The 22,474-nt window shown below is 43.0% G+C and overlaps 1 protein-coding gene and 1 long non-coding RNA gene across 6 annotated transcripts in view, besides 1 other annotated feature; one reads left to right on the top strand and one right to left on the bottom strand.

Annotated features, from left to right (window-relative positions):
* WWOX (WW domain containing oxidoreductase) overlaps window positions 1-22,474 on the bottom strand; it is a 1,113,014-nt gene that overhangs the window by 967,749 nt on the left and 122,791 nt on the right. The window lies entirely within an intron of this gene.
* WWOX-AS1 (WWOX antisense RNA 1) lies at window positions 3,168-10,257 on the top strand. Of its 2 annotated transcripts, none has more exons than NR_184272.1 (4): window positions 3,168-3,721; window positions 6,731-6,831; window positions 7,237-7,287; window positions 9,922-10,257. It is a non-coding gene; the product is annotated as a WWOX antisense RNA 1 (long non-coding RNA). The 2 variants fall into 2 exon arrangements; NR_184271.1 differs by having other exon boundaries at window positions 3,168-3,725.
* Window positions 4,053-4,347: a silencer, noted in NCBI's record as "tiled region #10407; HepG2 Repressive DNase matched - State 5:Enh, and K562 Repressive non-DNase unmatched - State 13:Ctcf". NCBI's record gives its function as "represses a minimal TATA promoter and a strong SV40 promoter by Sharpr-MPRA in HepG2 and K562 cells {active_cell/tissue: HepG2 | K562}" and the evidence as "EXISTENCE:reporter gene assay evidence [ECO:0000049][PMID:27701403]".

Here is a 22,474-nt window from a genome sequence, read left to right as displayed (position 1 = left end):
TTTTTCAACTTTGGAGTATTTTCCCTTTTTTATGAATATGTCCCTATTGTGTATGAGAAATAGCTAATTTTAAGAAGAAACAGAACTCCAAGGGGGAAAGAAAACACTTTTTTTTGCTCCTATGAGAATTCACTGGATAAGGGCTGTACATTTCGGGCCCGCCTACTTCATTCCACAGGAATTAGTAACTGCAGGTGCAAGTGTTGCTACTGCTCGAAGGCTAAGCCCTGATAAGGCCTGGGGAGGCCCAGAGACTAACAAATGGGTTTCTTCCAGGACTTTGCTGCTGATTGATCACTGCACTTAATCCTTTCCAGAGATAGTTACTCAAAAGGACCAGGAAAGGTAAATTTACCAACGCAGGCCAACGTGACTAAAAATAGAACCATAAAAATCTTGGGGAGATGCAATGTGGCAAGACCATGGTCTTCATTAAGGCAGGGCTGAAGGTGGAATCCTATTCCAGATACTTCACAGCTTAGATCTTTTGCCAAGCCTCTCACAGTCTCAAATTCCCCATCATCAGCAGGAGTCATACAGATTGCAAGGAGGTTTAAATGAGGCAATACATGAAATATGCCATAAACGGCAATTTATCAGCATCTATGATCCCTAACATTAAACACTGACCACTTCCTTATGTGCCAGACACAAAGCTGAGCACTTCACATGTACTGCTTCACATACTCCGAGAATTATTTTATTTAACCCCCATCGGGAAGAGACTATTATCATCTCCTTATCACCCACAGGGATGCTGAGGTTACGAGGTATCAAGGGACCTACCCACCATTGCACAGGCAGAAAACAGGAGAGCCAAGACTGACACCCCCAGCAGGAGGTGTTCCAGCCACCTTGGACACCTTCCACCACAGGCTAAGCCGCAGTGAAGGGCTTTCAGAGGGGCAGTCCACACTGGACATCAAACGGTAGAGTGGAGATTGGGTCAAGGACAGGAGCTTCATTATCTTAAATGAATTAATGCGGGAAGAGAAAACCAACTACCACATGTTCTCATTTGTAAGTGGAAACTGAGCATTGAGTACACATGCACATAAAGAAGGGAACAATAGGCCAGGTGCGGTGGCTCACGCCTGTGATCTCAGCACCTTGGGAGGCCGAGGCAGGCAGATCACTCGAGGTCAGGAGTTCGTGACCAGCCTGGCCAACATGGAGAAACACTGCCTCTACGCAAAATACAAAACTTAGCCGGGCATGGTGGTGCACACCTGTAGTCCCAGCTACTCCGGAGGCTGAGGCACAAGAATCGCTTGAACCCAGGAGGTGGAGGTTGCAGTGAGCCAAGATGGTGCCACTGCATTCCAGCCTGGAAGACAGAGTGAGACTCTGTCTCAAAAAAAGAAGGAAACAATAGACACTGGGGCCTACTGGAGGGTAGAGGGTGGAAGGAGGGAGAGGACCGAAAAAGCACCTATTGGGTACCATGCTTCTGACCTGGGTGACAAAAGAATCTGTATACCAAACCCCCATGACATGTCATTTACCTATTTAACAGCCCTGCACGAGTACCCCAGAAACTAAAGTTTTTTAAAAAATGAAAATTAATAAAAATTAAAAGAAATCACAGATGTTTGCATATCACATCAGTTACTGCAGATATTTCAAAATATCATTTACACTCAACACTACTCAAAAGTATAGGTGTTAGTAGATACACTATTACCTCTTGTGATTTAATGTACTATAGAAGAAACGTGTATTACTATAGAACAATAAAAATGTTGATATTTGTATTTCAAAAACAAAACAAAGGAATAAGGGCTTCCAAACTTTAAAATGCAAGAGAGCATCATGGGATGACAGTGGAAGAATGGACCTGGGTGAGAGGAGGCTAGGATGGGGAGAGGGAAGGGAAGGCTCACATGTCTCTTTTTTTGTTTTTGGTTTTTTTTGAGACAGTCTCCCTCTGTTGCCCAGGCTGGAGTGCAGTGGTGCGATCTCAGTTCACTGCAACCTCCACCTCCCAGGTTCAAGCAATTCTCATGCCTCAGCCTCCCAAGTAGCTGGAATTACAGGCGCACACCACCATACCCAGCTAATTTTGTTATTTTTAGTAGAGATAGGGTTTCACCATGTTGGCCAGGCTGGTCTCGAACTCCTGACCTCAAGTGATCTGCCTGCCTCGGCCTCCCAAAGTGCTAGGATTACAGGCGTGAGCCACTGTGCCCGGCTGGCTTTCATATCTCTTATTCTTTCTGCTTCCGCTCTCTCCTGTCCCCTATTAGCCATGGGTTCCAGAGAGGAGAGAAGGCTCGGGAGAGCAGGGGACTCAGGAGGTCACCCTGCTACCCTCACCTTTTTAATAACCCTCCTCAAACCCTGGTTCCACGTCTCCCTCACTCAAGGATTTATGTCTCATTTTCAATGGAATGTTACATTTGGTCAGACCACGAAGAAAACTCCTCATTATAAACTAGGAAATGTGTGGAGAGAGAATTATTTACCCAAGGCAGTGCTCAATCAGTGTTGCCCGAATATTTATTTAGCCCACACACGGAGAAGTTGTGTTAATGTTTGCCAAAGAATGTAGCTTTATAAAGTAACTGGGTCAAAAAAGACAGCATATCATTTTACAAATAACTTTAAAATTGCTTAAGTTAAATAGCTGGGCTCTCTCAGGTTTGTCTTTTCAAAAACGCTGCAGAAACAATATCCAGAATTATGTCTAATAAAATACAGGTATTACAAAGTGGCTGTTTAGCCCATTAAAGAAAATGGAGAGTGAAATCTGAATTATTTCTACCCGAGGCAGAAGCAGACAAAGTTACCAAAATTATGTTAGGCCGACGTCGCAATTCTTCAAGTCTGCAGGGCGGCAAGGCTAACAGCTCCTGCACCAAGACTCTATTAGGAGAGCTGTATTTTTCAGTCAACAATGACAGGCATTCCATTTCTCAGCCTCAAATCTAGTGTAGCTATGGGGAATTCACCCAAAACATTTGCTTTTGCTTTATCAGTGGCATTTGTCTGCCTCAAAAGCCTTGTGAGGGAGAGGGCTACTACGTGACGCTGCCAGGCAATGCTGTTGGAGGCAGCTGATTTGATGGACAAGAAGGGGAGCAGTGACCACCTGGGTCACTCTGACTCCGCCCTCTCTGAGCCAAGTGAATCTGAGCAATGATGTCATAATAATCATCAATAGCAACAGTGGCTGCGCGTGAGGGGCGTGGTGGTTCACGCCTGTAATCCCAACACTTTGGGAAGCCGAGGTGGGCAGATCATTTGAGCTGAGGAGTTCAAGACCAGCCTGGACAACATGCTGAAACCCCATCTCTACTAAAACTACAAAGAATTAGCCAGGCATGGTAGCACATGCCTGTAGTCCCAGCCACTCAGGAGCCTAAGGCAGGAGAATTGCTTGAACTTCCCCAGCTTCAAGAGGAAGAGTCTGCAGTGAGCCGAGATGGCGCCACTGCACTCCAGCCTGGGTGACAAGAGTAAAACTCCCTCTCAAAACAAACAAACAAACCAAAAAAACAAATAGCAACAGCAACCACAATCATCATCACCATCAAGGCTGGAACAAGGATGAGGCAGGCAGGCTCTGATAGCAACAGGAGGAAGCAGACCAAGGAGGGAGAGAAAGGAAGGCAGAGAAGGGGAAAAAAAAACACAAATGATAATAATAGATGCTGACATTTACGGAGCACTTACTATGTGCTGGGAACCATGCTGACGGCACACCGAATCCACTGAACAGGTGGGTAAGTATCATGGGTCAATATCATTCTCATTTTAATGTTGACAGTCACAAGACTTTCATCTGTACAATGGGGGTACTGCTGGCTCCCAAGGCCAGTGTTGGTGGAATACAGTGAATAGAGGTGAGTACCGTGTGACAGGAGGCTGCATCAGTAAGCAGGGGCAGCCAGCCAGGTGAGGAACATGCCCACTGAGATGGAGGTCAGGACGTTGAGAGATCCCCAAATTGCAAGTTGTCATCCTGAGACAAGCGATACCTTGCTGGACACTAATTCATTCTTGGAGTCTCTCCCTCTCAGCCCTTTGGCTTCATGTTCTGGAGAGAATGACCAGAGAGACCCATTTACTCAACGCTTCTCAATGAGACAGGGATCTTCTAAAGGGCACTGTCTTATATAGATCCTTGCACCTGCAATACCTGCCTGGCCCAGCCTGGCCCTCGCAGGTTCTTGTGAAATATTTGCTTATGAGTAAGCAAATGCATAACACGAGACGGCTGCTCTGGAATGACAGTTGCGAACACAGGAGGCTGCTGAGACTTCCAGAGACTGTAGATAAAGAACAAAGACCCTGTGAAGTTCCTCCGGGAAACCAGATGTGGCAGTGTGCTAGGGCTGCCCTAGCGTATCAGCACAAGCTCAACAGAAACTGACTCTCACAGTTCAGGAGACCAGAAGTCTGAAACCAAGGTGTTGGCAGGGGTGACTCCTTGTGGAAACCGTGCCAGGTTTCTCTCCTCGTTTCTGGGGGCTGCCCATGACCGTGGCATCTCTTGGCTTGTAGACGCATCACTCCAATCTCTGCCTCTGACTTCACAGAGCCTTCTCCTCTGTGTCCTCTCCTCCTTTTTCTGTTTTGTCTTTTGGTGTTATTTTTTTTTTAAGAGATGGGGTCTTGCTATATTGCCCAGGCTGGCAATGAACTCCTGGGCTCAAGTGATGCCCCCTCCGCAGCCTCCCGAGTAGCTGGGATTGCAGGCACACCCACCACTGTGCCCCCTGCTTTCCTCTTCTCATGAGGATAACCGTCATTGGATTTAGGGCCCACTCTAAAGCCTGAATGATTTAACCTTGAGATTCTTAGCTAATTACATCTGCAAAGACCCTGTTTCCATATAACGTTACATCTGTGATTCTGTGTGGGTGTGGATTTTGGGGAGACGCTATTCCACCCACTACCCTTACACTGCAACTCACACCCACACTGACAGCTTCCCTTGCCTGTGTCTGTCCAACTGGCTTAGAACCGGAGCATGGCATCGTCACCATGGACTTTGAGAATGTATAAAGACAGGTGCCTGGTCCCATTCCCTGTGAGTCTTGAGGAAAAAAGAAAAGTGAGCTTCAAAAACTAGAAGAGCCAGCCTGGTGTGGTGGCTCACATCTATAATCCCGGCATTTTGGGAGGTTGAGACTGGCGGATCACCTGAGGTCAGGAGTTCGAGACCAGCCTGGCCAACAAGTGAAACCCTATCTCTACTAAAAAATACAAAAACTAGCCAGACGTGGTGGCATGTGACTGTAGACCCACCTACTCAGGAGACTGAGACAGGAGAATTGCTTGAACCCAGGAGGCGGAGGTTGCAGTGAGCCAAGATCGCGCTGCTGCACTCCAGCCTGTATGACAAAGCGAGACCCTGTCTCAAAAAAAGAAAAAAAGCTAGAAGAACCAAATCACTAATGCCTAAGCAAGAACAGAGGGGATAGAGGGGCCTGGGAAGCAAGGCCTGTAAGATCCCTTGACAATAACACACCAGTCCCATGAGCAGGAACACAAAACATTATCCCTGGACCCAGTTCTCCATCAGGGTCTCAGCATGAATGAGGCTCTTCCTTCCTCACGGGGATGGGAGGACCACCCTGCTTTCTTTGCCCTTCCCAGGAGGAAGGGAACAGCACCTTCCCCATCTCTGCCAGCATCTGTCCATCAAGAGCTGGTCAACAGCTTAGACTCAGGGGATGCCACAGTCCACATTACAGTGTCACTGGGCCAGGGCTGGGAGAAGCCGTGGGAGAAATGCAGAATGGGGAGGCTGAGGCAAAGTCAGGATGAACCAAAATGTGGGTGAGCACCAGACACAGTGGCCACCTGAGGAGGAAACACACAACAGCTGAGAATCCACGGGGGATGCGTGGCCAGGTTAGAGCATCCTGGAATCAGGCAGGTACGAGGAGTCCACGAAGTGGAGAGGTGATGCAAATCTGCAGGCCTTGGGGACAAGAGCACATCAAACCCTTGGGGGCCGATGCCTTCAGTATTCCTAATTCCTCCATGTTAGAAAGGTATTTTGGGCCAGGTACTGTAATCCCAGCACTTTGGGAGGCCAAGGTGGGCAGATCACCTGAGGTCCGGAGTTCGAGACCAGCCTGACCAAAATGGAGAAGCCCCATCTCTACTAAAAATACAAAATTAGCCGGGTGTGGTGGCACATGTCTGTAATCCCAGCTACTCGGGAGGCTGCGGCAGGAGAATCGCTTGAACCTGGGAGGTAGAGATCATGGCGAGCCAAGATCACACCACTGCACTCCAGCCTGGGCAACAAGAGCGAAACTCCATCTCAACAACAACAAAAAAAGTAATTTAGCACATATACTGCATATTACAAAATACCTTTGCGGGGTTTGGGGCAACATCCTATAACAATGACATTTCTATTTCTTCAGTGAAAATATGATTATTCAGCCTGGCCAACATGGTAGAGAAACCGCATCTCTACAAAGACACAAAAATTGGCTGGGTATGGTGGCACATGCCTGGAGTCCCAGCTACTTGGGAGGCTACAGCAGGAAGATCGCCTGAGCCCGGGAGGTCGAGGCTTCTCTGAGCTGTGAACACACTACTGCACTCCAGCCTGGGTGATGAAGTGAGACCTTGCCTCAAAAAAACAAACAAAACAAAATGAACATTCACACTAGAAAGGAGAAACAGGGACGCTAAAGCTGAAGTCAAATTTCACCACCAAATAAATTTGCTATAAATATACAATAAATTTGTTTTTGCTTTTCAGATCTCTTTGGGTTTTGGAATAACAAAAAAGGGACTGTACATGGATATTTCCAAGCTGGAACCGAGGCACTTTCTAGACGAAGGCAGCCTTATCCCCAGGAGGTAAGGTGTGGAAGTGAGTTGAGGGTTGAGGCCAGCAAGACTCAGACCACAGCCTCCTGCTCCAAACAGCCACATCACTTAATCTATTTTGTAAACCAGGCTTCCCTCAAGGGATCTGGTTTAATGAGAGAATTTGGGAGCTACAAAAAAGACTGAAAATTGTTGTTGGACATCAGATGCTGGCAAACTTTTTTTGTAAAGGGCTAAATAGTAAACAACTTAGGCTTTGTGAGCCAAGAGGCAAAACCGAGGCTATTACAGAGGTATTTACATAACAGGAGAGAAAAACAAATTTCTGCAAATTTTTTATTGATGAAATTCAAAACTTTATGACACTGAAATCAGAATTCCATATCATTTTCCTCCTTCAAGAAATAATATTCTCCTCTTTATTCTTTTTTGCAGATGATTGAAAATGTAAGAACTATTCTGAGCCTGCAGGCCATAGCCAAAGAGGTACCGGCTGTATTTTGTCCATGGGCAGGAGCTTGTGACTGCTGGTCTAGGTCATTCCAGGTCAACCAGGGGCCTCTCCCAGAGTGAGAACCACTGGTGATTCCCCAGAGTGGGACCAAGTGAAAGCACTTGGCTGGATCAGAGGGATAGGAGCCTGGCTGCTCCTAAAACAAGACACTACTTGCCTTTGATGTTCAAGTCATTTAAGAACGCAATTGCTTCCTACTCAATTTTTCAAAACCAAAATAACAAATACGATATGAGCCATAACTTAGCAAAATTACGTGTTTTAAACAGTCTCTTTCAAAAAACAATAGATTAAAAAGTGCAATATTTTTACCCCCTCTTAAATTGGAATCATGGTATAGCAGGCAGGATACAAACTTCTCATTTCCATTACACATTTTCAGTGCCATCATTAATCTGAATGACATCAACAAAATGCCCAATGCACATAAATCAGTCAGACTTTGAATCATTCCTGCAGCCTCTGAACATTTACCATGGAGCTCAATAAGCCAGGCAAGAACACAGATTTTTTTTTTTTTTTTTTTTTTTGAGACGGAGTCTCACTCTGTCACCCAGGCTGGAGTGCAATGGCGTGATCTCGGCTCACTGCAACCTCCGCCTCCTGGGTTCAAGTGATTCTCCTGCCTCAGCCTCCTGAGTAGCTGGGATTACAGGCATGCACCACCACACCGGCTAACTTTTGTATTTTTAGTAGAGATAGGGTTTCACCATATTGATCAAGGTGGTCTTCAACTCCTGACCTCGTGATCCTCCCATCTCGGCCTCCCAAAGTGCTGGGATTACAGGTGTGAGCCACCGGGCCCAGCCGTAGGAACACAGATATTATCATCATGGGACAAGTCATCCATTCCCAGATTCCATGACCCTCTCTGGTGTCCACTGTGGATTTCAGCACATGTTTAACTATGAAACTCTAGTCACGCTTTTTGATATACAGGTTCATGGTTACTAGTGTCTTATCCTGCTTGAGCCAAGAATATGCACTAACACATTAGACAAACCTTGAATTAAAATGGGCAACCCACCATCCAAATGGGGAAAGATGATTACAGACAAGTTCGTACGAGTAAACTACTTGAAGGCAATTCCTGTGCTTAAAATGGCCACGTGAAAGGTGTCCCTGACATGGAAAGGACAAACCATGAAATGACCCTTGAAGCTCTTAATGTGTCTGTCAAAAAAGCAAAGCCAACTGTCAAACTGAAAAGCCAAAATCATCACAAAAACACCTATTCTTCAGAGGCCTCAAATCTCAAACTATCTCCCACCATCCTTTGTAAGTATGTATAAGGAGGCCAGGAAACTAGCATTTGCTGAGACTTTATTCTCAGCTTTGTATGCTTTGCATAAATGATGTCATAGAACACATTGACAGTGAGAAAACTAACGTATTAACATTTTAATTACCTTGCCCTATCACGAGATTAGAAAGATTCAGATATGAGACATCCAAAGTCTGTGATCTGAACACCAGAGTCAGAGGCTGGCAACCTATGGCCCACGGGCTGAATCTGGCCCACTGCCTGTTCCTATAAATAAAGTTTTATTGGAACACATCCGTCCATTTATATATTATCTGTGGCTGCTTTCCTGCTGTAACAGGAGAGTTGAGAAGTTGCAACAGAGACCATAAAGCCCACAAAGCTAAAAATATTGACTATCCAGCCCTTTAGAGAAAAAGGCCATGCCCAGGCTCCTGTGGGTACCTGCTATGCTACAGCCCCTCTGCTGGGGGAAACCAGCCCACTCACAGGTTCCCAGTGAGGCAGGATCTCTGGGCAGTTCCTTAGTAATTGGTGGCTCTGTGACTTCCTTCCCCCAATCACCTTGACCATCTAGTCTGGACAATATGAGCGCCCATGACGTGAGGACAGCCTTGTAAACAGGGTGGCCTGGCTGGAAAGCCTTGTCCAAAAGGCACAACAGTGACTACACTGAACCCATCCCATGCATCCTTTTGAGAGTTAGAAGGAGGCAATTGCAAGCCGGCTGCAAAAGACAAAAGACACCAGAGACTTAGAAACCAGTGAAGCCACGCTGAAGATGCAGACAGAGAGCTAGAGACAAGGTCAGGGGCCTCTGTTGCACTCCAGACCCGGTCCGGAGGCTTTTCCATGCTTAGGGGCAAGGATTGTCAGGGTTCTGCTGTCCCTTTCTTTAACCTCCTTTATGATTCCCCAAGAGCATCCTGAGTGCACCTCCACTCCCTGCCACCAGGGGTCAGATGAGCCGGCCTGGCAGGCTTGTTTCCCTCCACCAGACAACAGCAAGGACCAAGATTGGCAAAGTGACACATCCTCTCCAAAAGAAGAACATGCAGAACAAATCAAAGAACACAAACCACGACTGACAAACACAGCCACACTCGATTTTAAAGTACTGAGCTGTTTGAAGAAAGGAAGCATGGCAAGGCCCCTTCCTACTAATAACAGTAACAACAATAATACTAAATATTTTATAATAATTTTAAATTCTTAATTATTTATGATATTTCCCTCCATTAACATCACGAACATCATTACGTGTGTGTGTGTATTTTTCTCATTTTAAAACCAGCAGATGAGAGTAAAGGATTTCTTTTTCCTCTCCCCCACCTCTTTACAGGACCTACTGTTAAGTTTTCAAGACCACCCAGAAAGAAATTTGAAGTTGGGTTTATATCCTTAATCCCTCAGTTAGAAAAAAAAGAAAAGTGAAGAAACTGCATCTCCAAGATCCTGCTATATCAACTTCAGTTTTTTGAAGTTAAATTTGATTTTTAAATCCCTTGGCTGATGAGACCTGTGTGGGTTTTTTTTTGTTGTTTTTTTGTTTTGTTTTGTTTTGTTTTATCATTGTACCTCTATTTTAAAAATAGAGACTTGTGGTTCTTTTTCCAAAAGCAGTCCAACAGAAAGTGAATGGTGGTCAATGCATAATAAAATGAGAGTTACCTTTTGACTTGGAAGAATTATTAGCATTTTGATTTGATGGGTTCTTAGCTCTTCAAATTCAAAAATACCTTATTCAAGTCTAGGAGTTTTCCAAATACTTCGGTTCTAAAGATTACCCTTTTTCGATGCTTTGAAAACTAAAAGGGCATATCAGAATAGAAATCTGGCTGTTGAATAACTTGTAAGCTCTGCAGAGACGTACAAAAACATGGCCACTTTAGCCAGCGGTATGGCGAAAGTCTGGGGCCCACACTACACACACACATATGAACTTCTCATGACCCTCAAGTATATTCATATGATATATCACAAATACCATAAAGCAGCATTGTAATAACAGGGAGGAATTGATTTTAAAAGGCCTACATCAAAATGAATAGTCATAAAAGTATAATAACCTAGACTGGAAAATTTAGGGATTAGAGCATTTTGAACATTATACCTCAAATTTATAAAGGCTGTATATTAACATTCACAAAGGTTTTTAAAGATGGAATAGCTATGTACACAGTGAATTTATTCTAAAATCCAGACTCAAAAAAAAAAAAGAATATGAACTCCTCCCCACCGTGTTCTGGACTAAAATCAATAAGTTCCCTTTAGGTAATTAAAATGCTGGTCCCACGACCTGCCATCCTATTCCCAGGCTTAGAATGTTAGGAACACTGTTTCTGCTTTGAGAATGGAAGAGAGCAGGTTACCCTGATGCCTCTGGGGCCAAACACAGGGGATACATTTTCCCAGTAGAAGAAATCAGCCCTGATCCTCAAGAAGAAGAACATATTGGCATATTTTAGTGAGACTGAGGCATACTGCATCTTGGGGTAAAAACTGAATCATCAGGCCAGGCACGGTGGCTCACGCCTGTAATCCTAGCACTTTGGGAGGCCAAGACAGGCGGATCACCAGGTCAGGAGATCTAGACCATCCTGGCTAACACGGTGAAACCCCATCCCTACTAAAACTACAAAAAAATTAGCCAGGTGTAGTGGCAGGCGCCTGTAGTCCCAGCTACTCGGGAGGCTGAGGCAGAAGAATGGCATGAACCCGGGAGGCGGAGCTTGCAATGAGCCGAGATCGCGATAGTGCACTCCAGCCTGGGCAAAAGAGCAAGACTCCATCTCAAAAAAAAAAAAAAAAAAAATTTAATCATCAAAGGAAAATGTTTCAAATTCTAGGGTAAGCTGACATGGTACACATATACAGCGAAATACACCCAGGGAGGCTGAAAGTCCAATAGGCCACCACAGCACGTTAAAAATGTCCTGTTTTACCTATAGTCAACAATAATAATAAATTATATATTTAAAAATTTGTTAAAAGGGTAGGTCTCATGTTAAGTGTTTTTACCACAATAAAATATTTGTTTAATGTCCTCTACGTGGCTATTATGATTGGAAAAGGCATACCTTGAACAGAGATGAATAAATCTGCATATCTGTGAAATGTCAGTTCAGCATGTTGATCGTCAGTAATCTTTTCAGAACATTTCAGATATATGAAAATAGCACCAATGTCTGAGTTTGAACCTGAACTGGTTTCAGCTAAAGTGATCATCTTCAGCCAAAATAATGGGTATTTCTTTCTTGGCCTTCCTTCTACAGACTTCTAAAAGACAGTGGAAGCACTGAATATCCTTTTAGAAACAAACAATTACAAATTAGCTGGGCATGGTGGCGCACGCCTGTAGTCCCAGCAACTTGGGAGGCTGAGGCAGGAGAATTGCTTGAACCCAGGAGGCAGAGATTGCAGTTAGCCGAAATAGCACCACTGCACTCCAGCCCGGTGACAGAGCGAGACTCCATCTTAAAAAAAAAGAAAAGAAAAGAAAGAAAAAGAAAAACAGCTACAGATATTCATTCCTTTTTAATTTCTTGATAAATAATAGACCAGTAAGAATCACATAAGAAGCAGTCTACATTTTTCAAAGAGTTTTTACAGATCCCATTTGATCTTCAAAAGGGCCTCCATTAGGAAAAACTAAATTCAAGTTTAAAACTATCCATTTTATTTCTCCCATAAAAATATATTCAGCCCCTGGAGATAATCTCCAAATTCCTCAGATTTTAAAAGTTAATTTTTCTTATCTTGACCCAAAATCTGTAGAAACAAGGATTTTTCACCAACAGTGAGCTCCCTTTTCATAAAATCCTTATCTACCAAGATTTACCTCTGCAAACCTCTACAGTCCCTGGTTGTGAGCCCCTGATGGAAGAAGCTAGCATAAAGAAGTTCACAACTACTGGGGAGGGAACGACCTGACAAGTTGCAAGCAAGAAAGGAGTGAAAAACTGAGTTAATTGTACAAGAATTTGTGTATTTATAAATGCAGGATAAATAAGATCACGTAGAAACTCTCTTTAGACTTCCATCCTTACTGCTGTAATTGAACGAACAGACGAATGTGTTTGACCGCAATTGCCCTAATACTATTTTTCCCATAAATACCTGAAATTCTTCAATTGTAAGTTTTCCTACTCTGGCAATTTTAAGGAAAGTGATTCTTGAGGCTGTGGGTGAAATACCACATTCATTTTTTTAAAAAAAATAAGGTATACTTACTTGTACTTTCTACCATTTTATATATATTCTCTGTTTAAATTGTGTAGCCCCTAATAGACTGCAAAGACAATGATAAAAAGGAACTTGCCTTATTCACAGGTACATCCTTGGAACTTAGTAAAGGGCTTAACCTCCATAGCAGGCAGTCAAGACTTACTGAATGATTAAATAAAAACACTGAATTCCATATTGTGCAGGAAAAAAAAAATCAAGATTAGACCTCAGAAAAAATTGACATGTCTAGTAGAACTTACTATCTGGGCAAACTTGAAGAGAAGTGCAATGGGAAGGCCTCCTCAAAAAAGACATTGAAATCAAGATGGGACCCGTTCCTACCCTGGATTTCTCTGAATCAGCTACTCCTTAAGTTCGTATTTTGTTCCACTCAGCCAATGGCAATTCCAGGAGAGAGGCAATTGATAATAATTATGTTTTCTGCCTTCTCTTGGGTTATGAATTTATCATGATGCAAAAGTCGAGCTACTCCGATGCCACGTTAACAATGAAAAACACCATAAAGACAAAAAGAAACTGAATTTAAGCATTTGGATTCTGCAGAGGAGTTTATTGAACAGATTAACTAAGGAAAGGCAAAGCTACACAATTATGGAAAACAGGTAGCAACACTCAGGCTGACTATTTTCGATGGCCACCTGAGAGCGGATTTCCAATGCCCTCATTTCTGTAGGTACATTATCCTGTGTTTTATTGTTAGTCACAGCTGCAAGTTGATTAATTTGCATTCAGAAATTCTAAGTGGCAAATGTGCAATGCATAGTAATATACATTTTTTTATGGACACTGTGAAAATGCCGAAGCCACATCTCATAAGTAACTCTTGCTCAACCAGTGAGTAAAATCCATAAAAGAGTTTGCAAAAGGCTTTGAAAGAGTTTGGTTTGAAAGGAAAACTGCAAGAGCAAATCCCTCTCCTCCACCCCAGCCCTTAAAAAACAAAACTAAACTAAGTCTGAAGCAAAACCAAACAAAGAGAACAGTTGGGTGATGTCAAGCTGCCAGAATCATAAATGTTGTCAGTTCACGTCCCAGTCTTCCTGCTCTCTTGGCATTGCCAATAAAATCCAGAAACACCAGGGATGACTCAGTACCACAGTCAGTGCGTAAATAAGGGATAAAGATACCTGTTAAATCCATTGCCTCAAAGCAATCATGGGAGTTTCTTAAGAATACTGAACCTCCTCTCCGTTTTCTGCACTAAAGAGATAAGGAGTGGCATGGAGAATCTAAATGTGTGGAAAATATATACCATTGGTGTGAGAACACATATTGTGATAGGTGTTCCCCTCCATCAGCCCCCTAGTCTATACTCCTAGCTGCTTTATCTTCCAGATCATGCCTCCCCTGCTCAAAGTGAATTTGCCTTCCCTTTCACACTGACCTTAGAAGTGGATCTGAGACCATGCTTCCTAGCAGGAGAAAACAACTTTTCCATTTGAAAACCTTTGCGAATTACCCACAACTCTGACAACAGGTGCTCAGCAGTTGATAGTATTCTTTTTGGAAAGTTTTATCAACCACTTAAGTTAACTTGAAGACGCCTAACAGCAGGATATGGTCAAGCAAACATGTTCATCAATTAATTCAAATGCAATTTTAGTTTACTTTTATATGATTTCCCATGCTTAAAACTACTAATTGCTTTCCCAGGCTGGCTGCATGAACATGGCCCAATCAAAGGATGCAACAGTCAAATGCTTGTGTACATCATGTTACCTGTCCATTTCCATCAGAGACATCATGGACACAGCTGAAATACTAGGCCTGGCCTTTTGTAAGTTCATTAGAGCATCACAAACATAACTGCAGCTATTCTCACTGTTTGTGACTCTGTGATTCAAATGTTTTCACAAACCTTCCCTGGCACTGCGTATTAGATGGATTGAAAGATGCTGAAACGTAAGGCCGGGCACGGGCACGGTAGCTCACGCCTGTAATCCCAACACTTTGGGAGGCCGAGGTGGGAGGATTGCTAGAGCCCAGGAGATCGAGACCAGCCTAGGCAACATGGTAAAACCCCATCTCCACAAAAAATATAAAAATTAGCTGGGTGTGGTGGCATGCACCTGTAGTCCCAGCTACTAGGGAGGCTGTTGCAGAAGGATCGCTTGAGCCCCAGAGGTCGAGGCTGCAGTGAGCCATGGTCATGCCACTGCACTCCAGCCTGGGTGACAGAGTGAGATCCTGTTTAGAAAAAAAAAGAAAGAAAGATGTTGAACTATACACAAGAAATGAAAAGAAATAGCTGAGATATGGCTCTTGGGGAGAAAGAACAAAGCATCAACTAATAGAATTCAGAAAGAAAAGGAGGTACTCATCAAGGCACTCTGCTAAGGTTTGACTAATGGGATTCCACATGGTCTGCATGTTTATGGCTTAAATGAGCTACCAACACTGAAACTGTCCACTTAATTAGCCCCCAAAACAAGAAGTACAGACTGTGAGTCTGAGACCTACAGAGACTCCAAAAACAGAAACTACCATCGCCTCAAGCTAATCACTCTAAGTCCTAGAAATACATCTGAGGTTGCAAACAGTCCATTTCATTCATTATTTTATATATATATATATATCTCTATATAGATATAGATAAATATATATACAGATATACATATAGAGAGAGATAAAACAGAAAAAATCTAAATGTCTAAAGGACCAGATATAAGTTAATCATAAAACGATGACAACAAAAACAAAGGCTTCTTGAGTTAAAAAGAATGGAAAATATTTAACTAGAGTTAAAAAGAAAAGCAATTTGATCAAGAGTCAGGAATTGTAGGTTCTAGTCCTGGCTCTTTTTATTCTTTTTATTTATTCCTGTTTTTTTTTTCATTTCTTGTATATACTTCAAAAAGGCAAAATATTTATAAAGTCCTTCTGAGTATGAACACTATGATTCGTAACCTCATCTTTGCAATGGAAAATTCACTAGTATATTAAATTCAACCAATGGGAGAGGTTAGGTAGATGTATGATCACATGCTGGAAGAAGCTACAGAGAGGGTTATACAAACGGGACATGCTGGTATTATGAGGTCAAATAACAAGTATCTTAGCACAAACCAGCCCTGGCATAATTCAGGATAACAAACAACACAAGGTGCAAAAATAGAAGTAAGTACACATCAAGTGGACATGGAGCTTCCTGTTAGATTTGACCTTCCGCATAATCACCACAAAGGATTTAAAACAATTAAGTTGAAGTTTACGGACACTTGGCACAAAAAGCCACGAGAGCCTCACCCAGGTAGAGTATTTCCACACCTCCAGGAAGGAGAGAGTGGTAAATGAAGGGTCTTCCAGCAGACTCTGAAATGAAGAAGGATGAAACTTCAATGACATATCTGTCAACTAATGATGTTCACCAGAAAGTTTCAATTTTAAAAGTTCTACAAGGTGAATTTTTAAGTCATCTGAAATGTTTCAGTGAAGAGAATATGATTCCTAGGCCAGATACAGTGGCTCACACCTGTAATCCCAGCACTTTGGGAGGCCAAGGTGGGAGGATCGCTTGAGCCCGGGAGTTTGAGACCTGCCTGGGCAATGTGGTGAAACCCTGTCTCTACAAAAAATACAAAAGTTAGTTGGGCATGGTGGCAAGCACCTGTGGTCCCAGCTGCTCAGGAGGCTGAGGTGGGAGGATCTCTTGAACCCAGGAGGTCAAGGCTGCAGTGAGCTGAGATCACACCACTGCATTCCAGCCTGGGTAACAGAGTGAGACCATCTCCAAAAAAAAAAAAAAAAAAAAAGAGAGAATATGATTCCTATTGACTCATGTAAATGTCTACTGAGGAGAAAAATTGTTTATGCAGCTGATGCCATCTCCCCCTGGGTGCCTGCCTTCCCATCCAGTGAAGAAACGATTTCAGGGGTAAGAGAACACCCTGGACTCTGGGAAAATCTTCTTGTGTCCTGTTGCCTGCCTTCTCTCTCTATGCAAAGGCTGGAAGAGATGGGCCCCAGGGGAGGAAAGAGACATCAAGGCATTTGTGACAAAGCCAACCAGCTTCCTCTCCCCATAGCCCTGGGCAGGTGCTGTTTGATGACCATAACTCTATTTGCCAGAGAGAGGGTCCATAGACCATGTTGGTGTGGTGCCCTGGTGACATCTTGTGGTGAAATGGAATATAAATAAGCCTAAAATTCTACCCATGGCTGCACTGGGGTTCAATAGAACCAGATCTCCCGGTATGTTTCTTTTTGTTTGTTTTTTGAGACAGAGTTTCGCTCTGTCACCCAGGCTGGAGTGCACTGACACGACTCGACTCACTGCAACCTCCGCCTCCCGAGTTCAAGCGATTCTCCTGCCTCAGCCTCCCAAGTAGCTGGGATTACAGGTTTGCGCCACCGCACCTGGCTAATTTTTGTATTTTTAGTAGAGACAGGGTTTCACCATGTTAGCCAGGCTGGTCTCAAACTCCAGGCCTCAAGTGATCCACCCGCCTAGGCCTCCCAAAGTGCTGGGATTACAGGTGTGAGCCACCGCATCCGGCCCTTGTATGTTTCTACCTGAACAACTTCTCCTGCGGTCCTTCAAAGGGTGGATACTGAAGTCCAGTGGACACATACATTTAACCACAAATCGAAACAAATGCTTCCCAGTATACAGTATGCAAGAAAAGAGCAGCATTGATTGGAAGAATGAGAGATATTTTCAGAGATGAAAACATTCTTTATTCCCTCGGTCCCCATGTGTTCCAATGGAAAGGAACTACATCCTATGGGCGGAGAGTCTCAGGTAACACATGATTACCTCCCAAGACTCCTTAAATAAAGCCTTGGCTCAGAAGATAAAACTCCATTAAATTTATGTGAAAAGTCATTCTTATTCAACTACGAATTCCTTAACCTTAAAGCGTACAATTCGCAAGAGGTAAACTTAGGGTGTTTGTCTACCTGGGGATAAAAAAGAGTAATGAACAGGAAAGAGATTCCAACAGATAAAATGATTTCGTGGTAATATTGCGAGCCCGCGTGGCTGTGATTGCAAGCACAGATGAAGAGATTAGAGCAGTGAGGATCAGAACGGGAAGCTGAACCACTGGCATTGTGAACTAAAGAAGTAAAAGAGAAGCACATGCCAATGGTAACAGAAATCCCTCTTGTTTTTTTGCTTATTTTTTCACATGCCTGCTGTGTCAAAAGAAACACCTCTTTGTGTCCAAAGTAATTTCTTTTTCAACTTTGAAAGGCAAGGGGTGCATTTACTGGAAGCGCTATGAATCTATCTGGATGAAATCCTTAGGCTGGGAGCAGCCCTCAGCAGGTAGGGAAGGCTGGGGGAAACGTACTTCCTGCGTACGACACACTTATCATGCACCTGTAATAGTGTGCCCATCAGCAGGAACCACAGCATAGCCATGCCGGCGTCTATTACCTATCCAGTGTGACAATAAATGAGGCCAGGTGCACACCTCTGTTACCTATTATTCTCCACAAGAATGGCAGCAAAGCAGTGAGACCTGAGCTATACAAGAAAATAATACAGGAAGAAAGAAATAAAGGAAGAAAGGAAGAAGAAGGAAAGGAAAAGAAAAGAAAAGGAGAGGAGGAGGAGGAGAAGGAGAGAAGGAAGGAAGGAAGGGAGGGAGGGAGGGAGGGAGGGAAGACAGGACAGGACAGGACAGGACAGGACAAGAAAGGAAAGGAAAGAAGGGTCTTCTTTCTAATATTTTCTAGGCAGCATCAGAAAAAAAAAATCATTAAAGTTTTTCTGCCAGAGTATACATCCCTGAAAATGCTGAGATTTAATACACAGGATCTGAGCTGTAAGATTAATGGAGATTCAAAATGTTAGGTACCCTTTTCCTTGATGGCTGGGAGGCATCAGGCTTGGTGCAATCTGCAAGCTGAATTTAACCTAAACTCAAACTGGAGAGGGCAGAATTAGAGCAAGTTACCCCAAAGGGCTCAGCTTTGAGGGCTTAAGGCTATTCATCTCTAGCGGTTCATTCCACTCATTTCTCGAGGATACTCAGATGTTGCTGAAGAATAAACAACTGAACAGTATATGCTTTCATTCACCAAGTGAGCCAACATGCCAAGTTTTCGTTGTTTTGTTTTGTTTTTTTAAGATGCAGAAGTACCAGTAAAAGGAATAGCAGTATTAGAATAAAAATACAATTAGTACTAGAACTATTTTTAAAGTCCTGAGTGAAAACAGACAATGCACTATTTAGATGTAGAATAGAAGGGAGTCAAATTATAAAAACAGAGAACAGAATATAATTCAAAGAGAGGTGCTGCTTGGAAATAAGGAAAAAATACTAAAACATGGGATGCCATGTTTTTTCCATGTTAACCTAATATTTCATGCATTAAGGTGGAATAATTACATTGAAGCACAGTTTTCTTAATTAGCCCAGGTATATTTCCTGGGGAAGGAATAACTTATTGCAATAACTGGTGTTGGGACAATGAACTACTCATCTGGAGAAAATCAGCTGGATCCTTACCCAATTCCTCATGGCAAAACAAATCCTCAATGAATTTAATGATTTCAAAGTCAAACATAGGCACGTTCAACCAGTAAGACATATGAGTCAATATAATGTTACCATGGAGAAGGATTTTTAAAGCGTAACAATTAAAAGCAGAGATCATAGAAGACAGGCTGATAGATTTGGTTGCAATAGAATTAAAATTAAAAGACAAAAGTAAAACAAAAATTAAAAACTTAAAGACAAAAAAAGCAGAGGTCATGAGAAAACATAGTCATACACCTCATACCAACATTTCAGTCAATAACGAACTATGTACACAATGCCGATCCCATCAGATTATAATACCATATTTTCACTGTACCTTTTCTATGTTTAGGTGTGTTTAGATGCACAAATATGTCCCATTGTATTACAACTGCTTACACTATTCATTACAGTAATATACTATACAGGTTCATAGCCCTGGAGGAAGAGGCTATACCATATAGCCTGGATGTGTAGTAGGCTATCCATCTAGGCTCGTGTAAATACACTCTATGATCTTCATGCAATGACAGAATTCCGACAATACATTTTTCAGAATGTATCTCCCTTGTTAAGCGATGTGACTGTACCTGTGATATACATAACCACAGGTTAATGTCTTGAACATTTAAATAGTTCCTGAACACATAAAAATTCTTACCATTCACAAACGTAAAGACACCAAGATAGAAATCAGTCACAGAACATTAATAGATCATTTGCAAAAGAAAGAAATTGTTAACACATCAATAAAAAATAATGTTTAGCTTCACTAATAATCAAGAAAATGCACAGTAAAATTAGATTCTACCTTTCTCTTACTACTCAGCTTTAGAAAAACGTTACTTATTCCTAGTGAAGATACTGGAAAATAGTAGCCTCAATATTTCAAGAAAGCAATTTGGCAATTAATCTCAAAGCCTTATCTTATTCTTGGAACCAGCACTTCCAAGCGCACCAAGGAATCACTCACTGGTGTGTACTACAAAAACATTCATTGCAATTCCACTTACAATAGAGAAAAGCTGTGAATAACCTGTATGTCCAACAACAGGGGATTGGTTAAGTAAATCATGACTCACCCATCCATTAGGACATTGGGCAGCTATTAAAAATAATGCTGTTGAAGGATTTAGTGACACAGAAATACTATTACATGAAAAAAGGCAGTTTCTTGAACACTTCCATTTTCTTTTTTTGGCTGGCTTTTTTTTTTTTAATTTTTAAAGAGATAATATATACGTGTGTTATCAGGAATTACATATTGGAAATGACCACCAAAAAAATGACTTGTTCCACTTAACAAAGAAGGAAAAACAGGCCGGACGTGGTGGCTCACACCTGTAATCCCAGCACTTTGGGAGGCCGAGGCAGGCGGATCACGAGGTCAGGAGATAGAGACCATCCTGGCTAACGTGGTGAAACCCCATCTCTACTAAAATTACAAAAAATTAGCTGGGCTTGGTGGCGGGTGCCTGTAGTCCCAGCTACTTGGGAGGCTGAGGCAGGAAAATGGTGTGAACCCAGGAGACGGAGCTTGCAATGAGCTGAGATCACCCCACTGCATTCCTGCCTGGGCAACAGAGCAAGACTCCAGTCTCAAAAAAAAGAAGGAAAGATAAAGTTGATGCCACCTTTGGTCTCTTCCTTTCTACTGACAAATCATGTGTACTTCAGCAGTCACTTACTCCATCTGGGCCTCTGTTTCCTCATCTATAAAACAGGAATAATGACAACTTCCCCACCTTAGACATATGGATTCTATGAATATAGTCTTGACATGTAAATGGCTATTTTGTTGTGCTGCTGTTTTGGAAACTCCGCCATTACGCCAGCCATGTGAAAATCATTTCTCAGCTCCATTTGACAAAGGTGGCCACTCAGCTGGGCTCCAACACTCTTCCCCACTCTCTCTGCCACTGAACTCAAACACCCTCTCCTTTGGGAAACCCAGGCTGGAAACTGAAAGGATGGCTCCATCCTCTTGCTTCCCAAGACTCTGCACCGCCCAGGGACGCTGAGCACTTTGCATGTTTCCTGCCACATCATTCAGCAGCCCCTGCCTTCCACCGTCCAATGTGCCTATGCATCCTTCTCTTTGCCTACACCACCTTCCACTTGGTAGGAGCTCAAGCATCCCCCATCAACCTCTTGCAGACCCATCAACACATCCCTGGCATTCTTCTCTGACCTATTAGTGCTTCAAGGTTGAAAAGCATAAAAGGGCATGGTCCACACAAGTGCAGGGTTTCTCAGCCTCAGCACTATTGACTTTTGGGGCCAGACAATTCTCTGTTGTAGGATGCGCCTGTGCATTGTAGGAAGTTCTACAGCATCCCTTGCTCTTACCCACTAGATGCTAATAGCAGCCTATTCTCCTCCAAGATATGACAACCCAAATATCTCCAGACAAGTGTCCCTTGATGGGCAGAGTCACCCTTGGTACAGCACCACTGTACACAGTGAGAAAGGCAATATATTTATTTCTGCTACTGACAGTCACAGCCTACAAGCAGCAGGTACCCAAATCACATAAATGATCACCGCAAGGACACTTCTTGGGCAGGAAAGTCCATGCCAGAGCTTCAACCAGAATCTCCTGAGACTGAAAGGGGAATGACAGGGAGTGCGTCCCTCCCTGCATTCCTCTGGCTCCCCTCTGAGCCTTGAGCAAAAGGAAGGGGACAGCCCCCTGAACCCTGAGCCTATTTGCATCTCCTCTGAGAGCATGTTCTGGAGGCGCTCCACAGCGAGCGGGAAGATCTTTTGTGAGATTACTTATCTGGAGCGCGTGTCACTTCTTCAGCACCATAAAACTGAAATACTTGAAATAGATGTCACTACATTTGTCATGAACTGACATGGCCAATTAATATTACAAATTCACCATGGAGAAACGCTTCCAGCTCCCAAGGTATAAACTGCTGAACATCACAATTTCCTCTTGTAACAATGGGCCAGCCTCGCCAGGGCTATAAATACGAAGAAGTACAGGCTGATTAAATGGTAAAAAGTGCTGTTCACAGGGAGTCTCTTTCCAGGGCTGACACTAGCGCTGTGCCTAAAGTTAACAGGTACCCCGATGTCTCGGCTGCAAAATATGTATTTTTTTCTCTCTTTCTTCAGGAAAAAGTTGACTGTTGCATACTGTCATTTTTTTCTCCTCCCAGTGAGCAA

Source organism: Homo sapiens, chromosome 16 (genome assembly GCF_000001405.40).
Source record: "Homo sapiens chromosome 16, GRCh38.p14 Primary Assembly".
Taxonomy (NCBI): Eukaryota; Metazoa; Chordata; class Mammalia; order Primates; family Hominidae; genus Homo; species Homo sapiens.
The sequence above is the reverse complement of the archived record's forward strand: the minus strand, read 5'-3'. Positions and strand labels throughout refer to the sequence as shown.